The sequence below is a fragment of the Homo sapiens genome, chromosome 5 (assembly GCF_000001405.40).
Source record: "Homo sapiens chromosome 5, GRCh38.p14 Primary Assembly".
Lineage (NCBI taxonomy): Eukaryota > Metazoa > Chordata > Mammalia > Primates > Hominidae > Homo > Homo sapiens.
The window spans coordinates 154,396,864-154,412,549 of record NC_000005.10 but is presented as its reverse complement, the minus strand read 5'-3'; the positions used below and the strand labels follow the sequence as shown (position 1 = coordinate 154,412,549).

The window sequence follows — 15,686 nt, the reverse complement described above, 5'->3', positions numbered from 1 at the left end:
TACCCCCATTCCAGGTGACTCAGGTGCAGGTGGTCCAGGGACCATACCTTGAAAGCGCCTAGAAAAGGACATGAAACCTTTGCTGTATGTCATGGACTGTCTCTGTCCCTTAGGACAGGTGAATGGCAAGAGGTGGCAGGAGGCCCCCTCACCCCCTGCTGAGATCCAAAGAACAATAGTTGCCTCTTCCCCTTCAACCATGAAGACGGGTGTGGTGGGAAGAGCACTGGGCTAGGAGTCTGAAGCCCTAGGCTGCTCACTTGCTTAGCCAACAAATACCGATTGGGCACTTACTGTGGGCAGGCCATTGTGCTAGGTGCATAGCGTCACATCATGTAGTTCCAACCTTACAGATATCAATCCTACTTTATCTGAGGGATAGGGGGCTGTGGTGGCTATGAAAATGCACCACCCAATTTCCTGTTGCAGAGAGTCTCATTGCACCCAGATCCTGTATTCTGAATCCACCACTGTGTCCACCCATGGATGGATCCCAGCCAATGGGTGAGGCAGACCCACTCTTGCGAGATGTTGAACTCCTCTGGCTGGTGATTTGGCTTGGGGACTCTTCATCAACCTGGCCAAAGCTTCCTTACAGCTTTACTGCAGTCTGGACTCTTCCTATCCCGGCTCTCCTTCCTTCCCTCACCCCTTCACAGATGTAAGACCACTGTTGTGGTCTCATGGCTCTCCTAGTCTCCCCAGGTGTCTTCATTTTTCCTCTCAAGTGTTTTAACCATAAATCTCTTGCGTGTCTAATCCCACTGTGGCATCTGCTTCTTGGAGGACTTGAACTAACACAAGTGAGGAAGCCAACAAACTAGTAAAGAGCCAAAGAGCCTCATGAGGGAAGTCCACACAGCAGTGCTCCTGCAAACTGGAGGTGATGTTGGGGTAGGCTAGCCAGGCAGCTGAGCCAGGCAAGGGCTCTGTGACTGCTGTGTGAATTTGAGCAAATCACAGCTGGTGTTCCTGCCAGCCCACCATGCCTCTCCCCTTCCTCTGGTAACACCACCCTGACTTTCCATGGGGCTACTGCTCCTCACGCGCCCTGTGGCCAGCCGTAGTGTCCATCCTACCCTTGCTTTTCGTCTTCCCCGATGGCCCCAGTGATGGGTGCAGGATCCAAGAATAAGACTTGATTCCTGCACCTTTACTGGTATACTGGGAAAGAGGCATATACTTTCTGCTGGGTTGGCCAAGCAGTAGGGGTTGGTCAGCCTGAAGCTTCTGGAAGCCATTTTGATACCTTCAGCATGAGGCCAACACAAAAGGAACATGAGTTCAGCAGGAGAAGAAGAGACTGACATCATTTGAAGCCCTGGATCCAGGTTGTCTTAAGCCATAGCTACCCCAGGCTCATATGTGAGTCAAACACAATATATTCCCCCCATTTTTTTTTACTTTAAATTGGTCTTCTGAAAGAGCCCCAACTCTTATGCTCCCCTTTTCCAAGCTCCAACCTATCCATCAATGAATGGGTAGGTCCTCTCAGCTCAGAGACCCAGGATCCCATGGTGGCATGCTCGTCTGCTTGCAAAGACTGGTCTGCCTCGGCCAGCATGGGCCTCACGGGCCACACCATGCGCAGTTCACAGGTCCCCATGCTCAGGAGGGCCTGGCTTGATTTAAAGCTCTGCTGCCACTGTCTTGAAATTCTGAATAATTTTATCTTTGAACTGTTTTGTAAGTGAAATCTGATGGGACACTGGAGCGTGTGCATGAGCAGAGAAGCACGCTGTTCCTCTCTGCCCTGTCTGCATGCAGCATGTGCGAAGACACTGAATAAATAGGGGCGCTGGGGGTCCCAGAGGCCCTGCTTTCCCTTCAAACCGGAACTCGCTCTGGGTGTGCTAAGAAGGGCAACAGCATCCTAAGAAGCAGGAACGACCAACAAGTCCTGTCATGTTCTTTCTTACTTGCGTTACTGCCCCGTGTTAGCCAAGAACTTATGAAGGAAAGGGAAAGATAGGGCAACCCTTAGTTCCTTTTCTTTTTCGAGGCAGGGTCTTGCTCTGTCACCAGGCTGGAGTGCAGTGGCACGAGCACAGCTCACTGGAACCTCGACCTCCTGGGCTCAAGCAGTTCTCCTGCCTCAGCCTCCCAAGTTGCTGCAACTACAGGCACATACCATTACGCCTGGCTAATTTTTTCTTTTTTTTTTTTTTTTTTGTAGAGACAGGGTCTTCCTATGTTTCCCATAGGAAAATGTTGTCAAACTCCTGAGCTCAAGTCATCCTCCTGCTTTGGCCTCCCAAAGTGCTAGGATTACAGGCCTGAGCCACTGTGCCTGGCTCCTTAGTTCCTTTGCCTTCCAGCCCTTTCTTACTCATCAGTAAATGGAAGGTGGAGAGTGTTGGAAGAATATGCACATTATCAAGAAGTGAAGTAAAAAGCTGAGTTTGTTGTGTGCCATGTTTAGATTGTTCTGGTGAGAAATACTTATGCATGCAGCAGGTGGGAAATACAGATCATGTCATTTCACCCATTCTGAACATGAGTTACATGCTGTTAATCTGAATTTTAAATTGTCACTGCATAATATAAAGATGAAAGGTAAAATTCATGCTAATAACTTAAAGTTTTAATTTTTCTACACTGAGAACACTAACTAACAAGTAAAAATACACCATGACAAGGCTAGAGAGAGACCAGGAAAGAAAGGAAACGATTTTATATTCACGCCTTTCCTCCCTGCACTGACTTTCTACCTTTTGAACATGGGATCTGCATTTGCATTTTGCACACCCATTAAATTATGGAGCCAGCCCTGCCCTCCAGACTCACCTCCCCCCAAGCTGCAGCCGGGGGCTCCACGGGTGGGTAGAATTTGGGCAGGTCCCAGGCTATCTTCGTCATAAACCACTTGAAACTCTTGCAGTTAAGGGAGCTGCGGAGCTTTTTCTGGACTGCGACATCCCCAGCGGAGAGGTGGCGGTATTCAGGCCGGCGCTGGTAAATGTACTCTGCGTACTCATCCATCCACACTTCGGCCACCCGCTTAAGGTTCTATGGGGCAAGAAGCAATGGAGGGGTCAGTCTTTCCAAGAAGCCAAAGCCAGGCAGTGGGGTGAAAAGGGTCCTGGCAGGTCGAGGTCAACCCTTCTTATTTTATGTTCCATCAAAAATCCCAGCCCCACCGTGAGTTTAGGCCTTCTGTGTTTCTATTTATCATTATGCATGTTTTAAGGGCTTCACAGCTTATAGTTGGCCCATAGGCTGCTGTTGTTTTGCCTGCCCATCTTCCATCCCATCTTCTTCTAGCGATAGCCCCCACTGATTTTCCTCTGGGGAGCCACCCTGTCTCCCTGTCAGCTCATGTGGCAGGAGGAAAGGCATGGACCCAGCCTAGCTAATGTGAATACAGGCGCCCCCGGTGCAGGGGCTGGTCAAACAGCAGACCCATTCCCTAAGCCCCACCAATCACAACCAACAGGCATCAGCCTTGGGATTTTTGCAGGAACTATTGGAAGAATCGTTCTGTTTCTGCTTGGATTGCTGGGTAAGACAGGATGCCAGCCAGAGCTGCTGGGCCATATGGCCTCCAAGGAGAGACAAGGAGAGCCTGTCCAAGGATGAAATCAACCCAGAATGAAGCAGAGCGGAGGGCTGGATCCAGGAATGCATTCCGCCTTTTAACACCAGAATCCAGCCATGTCTGAAGCTAGAGCTACCTTGGACTTTCCAGTTACAGAAGCCTGTATATTCTTTCTTCGCTAAGCCAATTTGATTTGGCTTTTTGTCATTTTCAACTGAGAGTTTTGACCAAGCTATGTGATAAAGGCAAATTATAATTTGAAACCAAAAGGTGTAATTCCATCAGCAGCTGGAATTTCTAATAATCCTTTGAGGTGCAAAGGTTGCTGCTACTTTCATCATGAAGCACAAAGATAATCAGTTTTAAAAAATGACAGCCACATGATTGGCAAGCAGAGGCAGCAGGTGAGGAAAGTGTTTGTGAGTAGACTTGGGGACAGAGGAAGAGGGAATTCTTATGTATGTGATGAAAATTCCTGATTCCATCTGCAGTGTAGACCCCACCCAGTGAGAACTTCTGATATGTGATATATCTGAGAGCAAAACTTCAGGGTTCAGGGGAAATTCTCCGCTCCAAAACATCTTTCTTCAACCCCTGGCTGTTGTCCCCCCACCCCAATTTTAACTCTTCGGTTTTACCTCCTTCGTAAGTTTTTTCCCTATTGCAATCTAAAATTTCCTCTGAAAGGTTAAAGGGGAGTTAGCAGTTTAAGCTGTTATCAGTCATTTGCACCTCAGTGTGAAGGATTGCTCTAGGAGCAGAAGGTCAGGCAGGGGTCCCAAATGTTTAAATGTCTTCTATAAAGAGCCGGATAGTAAATACTTAGGCTTTGCAGACCATATGGTCTCACCTCTGATGTAGCTATAAAGCAGCCATAGACACCATATAAATGGTGTGGCTGGGTTCCAGTAAAACTTATGGATACTGAAATTTGATTTTCATGTATCACAAAATATTCTTCTTTTGATTCCCATTCCCTCTAATGATTTAAAAATGTAAAAACCATTCTTAGGTCACAGGCCATACAAAAACAGGCTGCTGACTCTGGAGTAATGGAGAAGGAAGCCAACATGAGGGAGGCCCCCGCACTGAAGACAAAATTCACCAGTTCCCCCATTTTGCTGGCTCTGAGTTGGGGACCAGGAAACAGCTGAATTTCCTTGTTGCTACCTAGTTCTTCCTGAGTGCTGAAGAGTCCACAGTGGGTTAGAAAACAGCTCAGGAACAGTGTTTATCCCCACCAGGCCCCTGCACAGAAAAGGCTGTGTTTAATTTAAAACTGTGCTAGAGGAAGTTGAAGGCCTAACAGAGACTGTCTACATGAACACTCTGAAACACAATATTTCCTCTGCTTTTTCCAGTATGTCCACCAGGCTCTTTTGGCTCACTGTCTAACCTGCTCGAGTCACAGAGGTAATGAGGGTAGTTTCACTCCAACTGAAAACAAGTCTGGACACTCTGACCATGGCCAGACTGGTTAAGAATGATACTGAAATTTACCAGTGTCATTCTTAAAGGATTGAATAACATCATATTTTAATTCTAATTATAATTACCATTTTAATTAATATTGCATAATTGTATCTTCCAGACACAGCTTGAAAAGCTCTTTCTCCCAGATTTTGAACTTTTTTGCTACAGTTCACTGTTTGCACCAAAGGAAATGACTTTACACTTATTTCTCTCACATCTCCCCTTGTTAGAGACATAAAAAGGACCTTGGGATTTCAGTGGGCTTCGGGCTCCTCATACCTCTACTCTCAACACCTTCCTACTTCCGAGTCCCAGTCCCGTCTGAGGCCCAACTGTACTTCTTGTGCTTGGATTACAGAGATTTGCCTGGATCCTTGGAGTAAGTCTCCATTTTTGTTTCACCAAGTTTGAGTAGTTTCTGTTATTGCCTTCCCTAAGATCCTTTTTCCAGAGGCAAAGATAAGAAAGATTTCAGCAAGTTTAGTAAACAATGTAAGACTGGCTACTTGTTCCTGAGGCAGGCAAGCTGGTGGACAGCTCATCCTTCCTGAACTGCTTCTACCTCAAGGCTGTCTGGCTGTTTGTCCTTCCGGAGTCCGTACAATCTCAGTTTCTCTCTCTATCTGGCTCTCTCGGAGCTATTAGGACAACTCTCAAATCTATCAAAATGATCATCTAGGGGACAATGCTCTAGAAGGCTTAGGATGTGGTTATTAAAACATTGAGCACTTTTTTTCCCCCCAAGATGGAGTCTTGCTCTGTCGCTCAGGCTGGAGTACAGTGGCTCAGTCTCGGCTCACTGCAACTTCCGCCTCCCGGGTTCAAGCCATTCTCCTGCCTCAGCCTCCCTAGTAGCTGGTATTACAGGCGCACACCACCACGCCTGGCTAATTTTTGTATTTTTAGTAGAGATGGGGTTTTGCCATGTTGACCAGGCTGGTCTTGAACTCCTGACCTCAGGTGATCCGCCCGCCTTGGCCTCCCAAACTGCTGGGATTACAGGCATGAGCCACCACGCCCGGCCCACTGAACAAATATTTTAAATGTGGTCTGCAAGTAATTGAGGGTTGTTAGTCACCATAATAAAAGGCCGCACCTGATTCAGGCATCTCTGTGGTTCTGCGAACCCACACATAATCAGACCTGATGGATCACAGAGTCCCTGGGGAAGAAGCCATGAGGCACCACTCAGATTGTTAAGTGGCTTAAAGCCAAACACAGGACGATGCTTCAGTACAGATAGGTAAAAGAGAAATACGTTAAAATGCCTAAACACAGAATTTAGATAAGACTTTTAAATACATGTTCCAGTCTTTATTGTTAATATTGATGCTAACACTAATAACAGCAGTCACTGTTTAAGGAACAATTGCTATGTGCCAGGTACCTGTCAGACCTACACAGGTTTGAATTCTGGCACTAGTTACTTAATGTTTCCATCGCCAACATCACGTTTCATGTTCCCCATCCCTAAAATGGGGTTAAAAACAAGTGAGAATTAAGTGAGATAAGTAAAATGCTTTGCATGCCTGGCTCGAAGGGAATTTTTATAAGTATTACTACAGTTAGCTCTTATCCACTGAATTAATCTATAATAATGGTTCTATAACAAGCAGGAGGCGGTAATGTCTCTTTATCAGGTGGGCCTTTTAAAAAAAAAAACAACAGCAACAACAACAACAACAAACTTTCTTTGAGACATGGTCTCGTTTTGTCACCCAGGCTGGAGTGCAGTGGCACACACAGCTCACTGCAGCCTCGACCTCCCTGGCCCAAGTGATCTTCCCACCTCAGCTTCCTGAGTAGTTGGGACTACAGGCACACACCACTGCGCCCGGCTATTTTTATTTTTAGGTGAGCCTTATCAACAACAGCTCTGCAGAGGAAAAGAATGCTTTAGGGTTGCTCCTGGTCTGGAGTTGGAGTGTCCCCATGGTCCCTTGTAGCCGGAAGAGTCTCAGTCTTGGGCGTACCGAGAGAGCGTGCGCTTTTCCTGCCTGGCTCCCTCCTCAGGGATCGCCAAATGGCCTTTCAGAAGAACGCGATTCCTGCTTCAAGGGACTGAACCTAGAACCTACCCCCCGCCCGTGTCGGATGGGGCTGTGGGCAGCGCGGATGGCTGGTGAGGGCGTCGTTAGGCTCTGCTACCACTGGAGGGCACTGCCGGCTCTCCTTTCCCTCCACGCGGCCCCTGACACTTCCCGGAGCTCAGCTCCCACCCACTGATGGCTCTCAGGGAGACGCGCGGCCTCTTTGAGCCTCTCGGCTTTCCTTGTAAGTCACAGGACAACGCTCTTCTAGGTCCCGGGGGCTGCAATTCTACACGTCAAGGTTGTCAAGTGGAGGAGGAGGCAGCGCCCTGGACAGGAGGCAGTGCGGTCTAATGCCAACCCGGCCAGCACCGGGGTCTCCTGGCCGGGGCGGGGCTCACAGGCTCCCCGGAGGGAAAGCTGTGCGGGGGTCCTTTCCAGCTTCCCCGCAAGGCTCTTTCTATCCTCTGGGGACCCTCCCTCCTCTTCATTTTTCTTTTGTGGTCACCTGGATTTATTTATTTTTTTCCGAATACATTTAATATCCAAACCAAAAACAAACTCTGGCTGACAGATTTCCATTTGCAGCCAGTGGCCAATTTAATTGAAGCAATGATTGATAGAAACCATTTTAAGGCAATGAAACAGTTTGACATGCAGAGGTTTTGGCAGTAAGAGTAGACAGGGGGTGAGGAGAAGAGAAAGACACTGACATTTATGAAGCCCACTTCCCCTCCAGAAATTTAGTACGCAAGCTTTCCCAAACACACCACACCACACCACCTGTATTAATATTTATCTAACATGTTTTTTTACATCACCTCTGGTCTAACTTTGCACCTACTTTAGCTGTATGCTAAGTAATAATATCTGTGAAATTACAGGTTAGCTACACGAATACACATTAATTTAGAATCCACATTAACTTAAACACATGAACAAGAAAACATTCCTGTGTTTGCTGCCTAAGATCGTCTCCTCTGTCACACTCTGGGAAACAGTATCACCTCCTTAATTCTCCTGGCAATGCTGGGAGTTGGAAAGAATTAGCTCTCTTTAAACAAAGGAGGAAACACAGGTTCAGAGGACTTAAGCAACCCTCCCCAGGTCACATAGCAATGAATGGTTAAGTAGGGATTTAAGGGAGTTCTTTTAAATCAGATTTCACCTGGAGAATGGGAGGCACATCCTCAAACCCAGAGATCACATAACACAGTCTAGGGCCCCAGGGTGCCTCAGTGCAGCTGATGGTCCTAGGCCAACCCCTTCTACCCGCCAAGGAAAGCCACCACCTTACCCGGGCCAGGCTGACTCCGGCCGGGACCTTGTAGGGCACATACTTCCTGTAGATATGGCCCACCCTGGAGCAGGGGATGTCCTCCATGCGGCCCCCACACATCCACACCTGCATGGCAAGAAGGAAGAGAGAGGATGACGTTTCTGCTTCCAGTTCACCATCCCGCCAGGCCAGCATCCCTTAGTGCACTCAGCAAAAGCATCAGCCTGGATTGTCTGCTGAAGCCTGGATCACAGACCTAATGACATGGGAAAACACAGTAATATAATAACAGCGGTAAAAACAGCTGACAGCACTGAGTGCTTACCATTGCCACACACTATGCTAAGATGGTCACATGCACAACCACACTTAAGCCTCATCAGAAAACCTATAAAGTAGGTAGTAACATTTTACAGATGCTGAAATGGAGGCTCAGAGAAGCTAAGAAATGTGACTCAGGTCACAGAGTAAGTGGTGGAGCCAAAATTTAAACCCTGTTTTAGCTGACTTCAGAATCTGAGCTCTAATCCACTATGGAGTGCTGTGTTGAGAATTCTAGGGTGGCATCGGGGGATCAGTGGGAAAGACCATGGTGATCACAAAGTGACATCAGCCACAGCATAAGTAGTCAAGGTGGCACACAGGTTCCGTAGATTTACTGTCACATATTTATTTTCCTCCTGGATCTATGAGCCTCTCGCTGGGTCTCCCTGAGCAGTTCCGTCAGCCTCCCTGCCCTGCCTTCTCTGAGTCTGGCTTGCTAGGCTGTGCAGCTGGGTCTTGCCGCAGTGTGGGATCTGATGGTTCTCTTTGCCTCCCTCTCCCAGGGAGGAGTATTTGACATCACAGAGAGCTCCTGAGTTTGCCCACTGGTCTGATAGCAACTTGGGAATGTGAACATGTACAGCCAATACTGACTCATACCCACTGAGGGGCCCAGCCTACATAGACCCTCCTTGGGAGGCCTGGGTTTGAATCCTGGCTCAGCCACTTACCCACTTGATGACTTTGGCCTACACAGACCCTCCTTGGCAGGCCTGGGTTTGAATCCTGGCTCAGCCACTTACCCACTTTATGACTTTGATTAAGGTACTTAACTTCTCTGAGACTCAGTTTCCTGTAAAGAAATAGAGGAGGCAGGACTGGAAGATGAGATATTGTGTGTAAAAGGGTTTAGCACAAGATCTGGTGCATACTCAGGACACAGCAGTGAATCAGTCAGCCGAGGCCCCAGCCTCCGAAGTGGCCTCACAATCCCTGCCTCCTCGTATTTGTGCCCCTGTGTAGATGCCTCCCAGTGAGTCACATGAGGACTGACCTGTGTAACCCACAGGATACTGCAGAAATGACGGTCATAAAGATGCCGTGGCTTCCACCTTTCTCTGTGGGACCGCTGGCTTTGGAGGAGCCAGCTGCCATGTTTGAGGACACCCCAGCCATGCTGTGGAGAGGTCCATGCGGTGAGAGCTGAGGCCTCCTGCCCACAGCACTAATTTGCCAGCCAGGTCAGTGAGCCACCAAGAAGCAGAGGTCGTGGTCACAGTCAAGCCTGCAGATGACTGCGGCCCTGGCTCATGGCCTGACTATTCTCCTATGCGAGACCCAAGGTGGAGCTATCAAACCAAGCCACTCCCAAATCCCTGGCCTAGGGAAGCGCTGCCATCATAACTGTGTATTGTGTTAAGATGGATTCTGGGGGTAATTTTTCCTGGCATAGGTAACTAACATGGGAGATGGTTTCAGGTGGCGATGGCAGAGCAGGGCCATTGCATAGATTCGTTGTAGGGGTGTATGGGATGTGAGAGATGCTACTTTATGCTCCCCAGTCAGGGAAAGCCTCACTTCGGAAGGGATGTTTGAGGTGGAACCAAGAAGGTGAAAGTAAAGGCAAGGGAACGGGTGGGAGAAGAGCAAGTGCAAAGGCACCAGGGCAGGGCCAAGCTTGGCATAATCAAAAAGAAAGCCAGGGCAGGAGCAGAGGGAGAAAGGGGAAGAGGGATGGGAGGGGAGGCCAGAGACGCGGGCAGGGCTCCCGCAGGGCCCTCACGGGGCAGAACAAGGAGTCTTCACAGAAGGTCTTCAGTGAGGGAGACACACAATCCACTTACATCTTACAAAGATGACTCTGCCAGTGGGGTGGAGAACAGCCTGATGGGGCAGGCCTCAGGGAGAGTAGGCCCGGGAGGCTCTTGCAGTCGTCCTGATATGAGACCGTCCTGACCCTGGGTGAGGGGTGCTGAGGCGATGGGGGGACACAGCTGGATTCAGGACATTATTATGAATCTCGCTACCATAGTCTCTCATTTGTGGAATGGGGGGCAGGAATGGGGACATCTGCAAACCAGATTCTGTGCAAAAGTGCTCTTTTCAGTTGGAACTGCTCGATGAGGTCGTGGGGATTGGGCTTCACATCTTGATTAATTCAGGGGCTCTAGAAGGGCTTGCTCTTCCACCTGGCTCCTAAAAGGTCCTTTGTCCCCCACTACTTCCTGCTGTCTCCATCCCCAGCCCTGATGTACTCTGGCCCTCCCGAGAGGGGATGTGCACAGGGCTGCAATTATTGGAAGTGCTGCCTGGAGAAATGCAATTATATTCTGATCTTGGGGGAGAAAAAAAAATCCAGCCAGTCAATAGAACAGAACATTGGTCTCGAGATAATGGGCTCCTGATGGTAGATTAATGTCAAGGCCAAACCAAGAAGTTTATTTTCAAAGCAGGAGATATTGATCAGGCGCCAGCATCCCATAACAATAACTCTTCCTTTATACAAAGTGATTGATGTGGAAGTGATGCTTTTGCCTGGCGGGTATTGCCCAGGTCGCTGCTGGGCTGCCCTCTGCCTTTCAGGTGGTGCAGTGGCCCTGAGCAGGTGGGACACCTTACCCTGCTCTATTTCTGAACGTCTCCCGGGCAGTTGATCAGGTCGGCATCCAGCTTCCTTGTCTTCATATTAAACTTGCATTAGCTAATGAGGCTCTGTGTCCAGCTCTGCTTGGCAGAGGCACCTAACTTTATGCAGGTGGATGATAAATTTCCAAATCCTTCTCTTTGCTGTGACCTCTGGTTTCTTTGGCCCCAATCATGCTGGCCATCAGCCTGAAGGTTCCTGAGGGACCAGGGTGACCCTGATATGTCGGGAGGCTTGAGGCATCCAGGATGCCCTCAGATTCCTGGGATGTCTGGAGGGTTTGGTCAGTGGGTTTACTCCATGGCTTCCCTGCCCAGCACAGGATGCCCTGGTGGCCGACTCTGAATGTGAACTACCCTCAGGAAGACAGACATCTGCTCAGATGAAGCTGCTTCACTCCTGGGTCCTTTGAGAGCATCCCAGTGCAGGCCACGCCCATCACTTCAGAATGTCCTCTGGCCTGACCAAGAGCCCCGTGCAGCCCTCCACCCTCACCTCATTCCACTCACTTCTTGCTCACCACACCCATTGACTCCCCTCATAGACTCCTCCCTCTGCCTGGCTACCTCATACTCATCCTTCAGGTCCCCTTAAGAGCCACCTCCTCAGGGGCTTCTCACCCTTTTATACCTACACACAGCATCTTGCTTCATTGCCTTTTACCAGAAGTGAAATATTAATTATTCACAGGATTATGTCCCTGGTCTAATCTCCCTGCAATGGGCATCTGTTGTTTTTGCCTGTCCAGTGCACCTTCTCCCTATTGGGGACTGTCCTTCCAACTGCTCCACCTGGGGCCTGTGACCCAGGATGGCCAGCTGGAGCACCCAACCTCCTGGGCTCTGGAGCTGGTGTAGGGCAGGGTAATGGGGTATATATTTAATGGTCGCCACACATGCTGGTGCTTGATGTGATGGCCACACACTTTCTCTGGGGGGAAGAACAAAGTGGACAACACACTGCAGCTGCCAGTGATCACCTCTGCACCACACAGTAAGGGAGGGCCTGTCCGTGAATGCAGCGAGCACCCAGCAGGGCAGTCCCAAGAGAGGGAAAGAGACACCTGTTTGAGCACCTGGAAGCAGGCCTGTTGAAGACAGCCCCTCACCCCCGCCCCCGCCATGGCTTTTCTCGGCTACGGCTAGTTTAAGATGATTTTGTCACTTTTATATTTATTTCTTTTCGAGACAGGGTCTCCCTCTGTCACACAGGCTAGAGAACAGTATCACAATCACTGCTTACTGAAGCCTTGACCTCATGGGCTTAAGTGACCCTCCTGCCTCAGCCTCCCAAGTAGCTGGGGCCACAGGTGTGTGCCACCATACCTGGCTATTTTTTTTTGTAGACATGGGGGTCTCCCTGTGTTGCCCACACTGGTCTTGAACTCCTGGGCTCAAGCAGTCCTCCCACCTTGACCTCCCAAAGTGCTAGGAATACAGGCATGAGCCATTGCACCCAGCCTTTCTGTCACTTTTAACATTAAGAGTCCTTACCAACCCCTCTGTGCCCTGCCAGACTCAGGGCCAGTGTTGGCAGGAGTCTCATCTGTTGTATTTGCCATTGGACCCCCAGTGCCTAGCACAGTGCTCTGCCCGTAAGAGGCACTCGGTCATGAAAGAGGAGGTGAATCAAGACTGATTCAAAGTCTTGAGCATAGGGACTTGACTAGAGAGAAAGATGACCTCATTTTGTCATCCATTCTTCAGTCACTGGCTCCAGGGATGAACTGTCTTTTTTGCTTCCAGTAATCCTAGCAACAATATAAGCCATGAGCAGGGAGCCCGAGGTTTCCTTGTTTCTCGGGCAGAAGGCACCATTGCCATCTCTTTCGGGCTGGATCCTGGCTGGGTTTGTCTGGGGTGAAGTGGAACAGATGTAGGAGGCCAGAGAGAGCATCGCCGTCATGCTCCTGGCTTGCTCACCTCCCTCTTGTGACAAACAGCTCTCAACTCTGCCACGGAGAGACAGGATCCCAAGACAGGAGGGGACTCTCCTTCCAAGGACGGGCTAGGGGGGTGGTGCTGGCCACAGATCCCAGGCCCTGTGGTTCTGCTCATGGCCCAGGTCACTTGTCCTTTGTATCTTTAGGCTCCTCCCTTTCTTCACAGCAGAGGTAGTGACCATCCAAGACCCAGACAGACACTGCAGACACTGCAGCCTGACTCCCCTCATACCAGTCCTCATACCACCAATGCCTGCTATGTGACCTCCTGCAGGTCATTGAACCTGGGAGCCTCACTCTCCTCAACTGTGATGTGGGGATGATGATGGCTGTTGAGATGGCACAAGACAGTGTGTGAAAAGCTCTTAGCTTGGTACCTGGCTCTTAGAGAACCAGATGAATGTTAGTCATTTCTACTTGCAGAAGGACGAGAAACACCACCACCCTGAAATTACAGAGCGCCTGCCCTCTGCCAAACAACATCAAGTTTTTTCACCCTATGGCCTGATTTCCCAAATGGAGAGACTGAAGTGCAAAGAGAGGAAGTATTTTTTCTTAACTAACTTGGTGGCAAAACCTGCAAGTGACCAAGAGAATGATATTATTATGAATCTCGCTACCATATTCTCTCATTTGTGGAACAGGGGGCAGGAATGGGGACATCTGCAACCCAGATTCTGTGCAAAAGTGCTCTTTTCAGTTGGAACTGCTCCATGTGGTTGTGGGGATTGGGCTTCATGTCTTGATTAGTTCAGGGGCTGTAGAAGGGCTGCTCTTCCACCTGGCTCCTAAAAGGTCCTTTGTCCCCCACTACTTCCTGCTATCTCCATCCCCAGCCCAGACATACTCTGTTGGGGCAGGTGGGGTGGGGCAGGGTCCCTGTATACCATTTGGGGCCTGGCCACCCAAGAGCACTGTCCTCTCACCCAAGAGGCAGGAGCAGAGTCCAGCTGGGGACAAAGAGAAGGGGAGCTCCAGGGATGGCAGCAGCTGGATCATCTTTGACCAGGAACCCATCTTGTTCGAGATGCAGACAAATACAGGCCACTGAGATGACATTTTGCAGTTCCTCTCCTTGTGTTGCTGTCAGCTTTCTCCCTGCCCTGTCCCTTCAACTCCCACCCCTGTAGGGGGATGCAGCTGTCTGCTCTGGGTCCCTTGCTGCTCCACCGCAGGAGTTCCCAGCACAGGAGTTCCCAAACATATCCTGCTAGCTTGTTTCCAGGACCCTTTCACTGCCCCTGTGGCAGTCTTCTCATAGAAGCACCATGCCTCTAGACAAGTACAAATCTAATTGTGAAAGCCTGTTCCCCATTCATTTTCATTGCTGCTTTGATTTATTTTATTAGCAAACTTCTTTTGTGTGATGACAGGCTTCATTACAGTGCCTATAAAAGACAATTACCCGCTCTTATCTCCTAAACTGAGGGGGAAAGAAACGAGTGGTGATGTGCATTGGGAAAACACAATGGGACCCAGAAAGAAGGGCGCAGTGGAAGGGATTGTCCATGGAGGGGAACCCGAGAGGGCAGGGGCTGGGGCAGAGCTTCTCTCTGTTGAGGAAATGGCTGCCTGGAAGCTAGCCAGGAATGGCACGGCACCCGACCTGCCCAGAGATAAGGAAAAGACTGGCAGCTGGCCACGGCTTTTGCCGTTGGCATCTCAGCTGAGGACCCCTATGAAGTTCAAACCCTAATCAGTTGCATTTGGGGGAAAGACTATACTAATAATTGCCACCAATCATTCAGCATTCACTGTGTGCTTAGGAGGCACATAGGGTAGCAGTTAGGAGCTTGGTTCTGGAATTAGAATTGAGGTCCCACACAGGCTGTTAAGCAAGTTTTATAAGTCTGAAAGCCTCAGTTTCCTCCTCTGCAAAATGGGAAAAATTACTGTGCCTACCTCCTTAGGGTTGTGGTGAGGCTAAAATGAGGTAATGTAGAAGCTCAGAGGACACCGTGAGCTATCCATATGGTGTCCTGTGGGCACGTGGCCCATCGCTACTGGTGGAGGGCGTTGCATGAATGCTACACAATTCCCGGCTGAAAAGAAACTCATATTATTTTGAATGTATTAGTTTGTTTTCAACAAGATATTGTTTCAAGAAGTATCACCACCATGAAAGGACAACCTCAGTCATGCTGGTTTTGGATGTTTACTGGATGCAGCTGGTAAAAAAAAAAAAAAAAGTAGAAAAGAACAACTTTAGTTTTAAATTTACTTCTAAATTTAAGCTGTATTTTTTTTTTTTTTGAGACGGAGTCTTGCTCTGTTGCCCAGGATGGAGTACAATGGCACAATCTCGGTTCACTGCAACCTCCGGCTCCCAGGTTCAAGTGATTCTCCTGCCTCAGCCTCCCGAGTAGCTGGGATTACAGGTGCCCACCACCATGCCCAGCTGATTTTTGTATTTTTAGTAGAGACAGGTTTTCCCCATGTTGGTCAGGCTGGTCTCGAACTCCTGACCTCTAGTGATCCACCCTCCTTGGCCTCCCCAAATGCTGGAATTACAGGTG

At 49.2% G+C, this 15,686-nt stretch overlaps 1 protein-coding gene and 1 long non-coding RNA gene across 2 annotated transcripts in view, besides 2 other annotated features; one reads left to right on the top strand and one right to left on the bottom strand.

Moving 5' to 3' along the window:
• GALNT10 (polypeptide N-acetylgalactosaminyltransferase 10) overlaps positions 1-15,686 on the bottom strand; it is a 230,252-nt gene that overhangs the window by 8,435 nt on the left and 206,131 nt on the right. Inside the window, exons 8-9 of the mRNA NM_198321.4 lie at positions 8,339-8,446; positions 2,788-3,009 (exon numbers count right to left, since the gene is read on the bottom strand). Of these exons, the coding sequence (NP_938080.1) occupies positions 2,788-3,009; positions 8,339-8,446 (330 nt within the window). The remainder of the gene's footprint in view (positions 1-2,787; positions 3,010-8,338; positions 8,447-15,686) is intronic.
• The window catches only part of SAP30L-AS1 (SAP30L and GALNT10 antisense RNA 1), a 56,054-nt gene that overhangs the window by 33,273 nt on the left and 7,095 nt on the right, over positions 1-15,686 (top strand). The window lies entirely within an intron of this gene.
• Positions 1,666-2,166: an enhancer, noted in NCBI's record as "H3K27ac hESC enhancer chr5:153789944-153790444 (GRCh37/hg19 assembly coordinates)". NCBI's record gives its function as "activates a minimal SCP1, AML or CMV promoter by ChIP-STARR-seq in primed H9 embryonic stem cells {active_cell/tissue: H9 hESC(primed)}" and the evidence as "EXISTENCE:reporter gene assay evidence [ECO:0000049][PMID:30033119]".
• Positions 7,157-7,206: a silencer, noted in NCBI's record as "silent region_16540". NCBI's record gives its function as "represses an Ori minimal core promoter by ATAC-STARR-seq in GM12878 lymphoblastoid cells {active_cell/tissue: GM12878}" and the evidence as "EXISTENCE:reporter gene assay evidence [ECO:0000049][PMID:35858748]".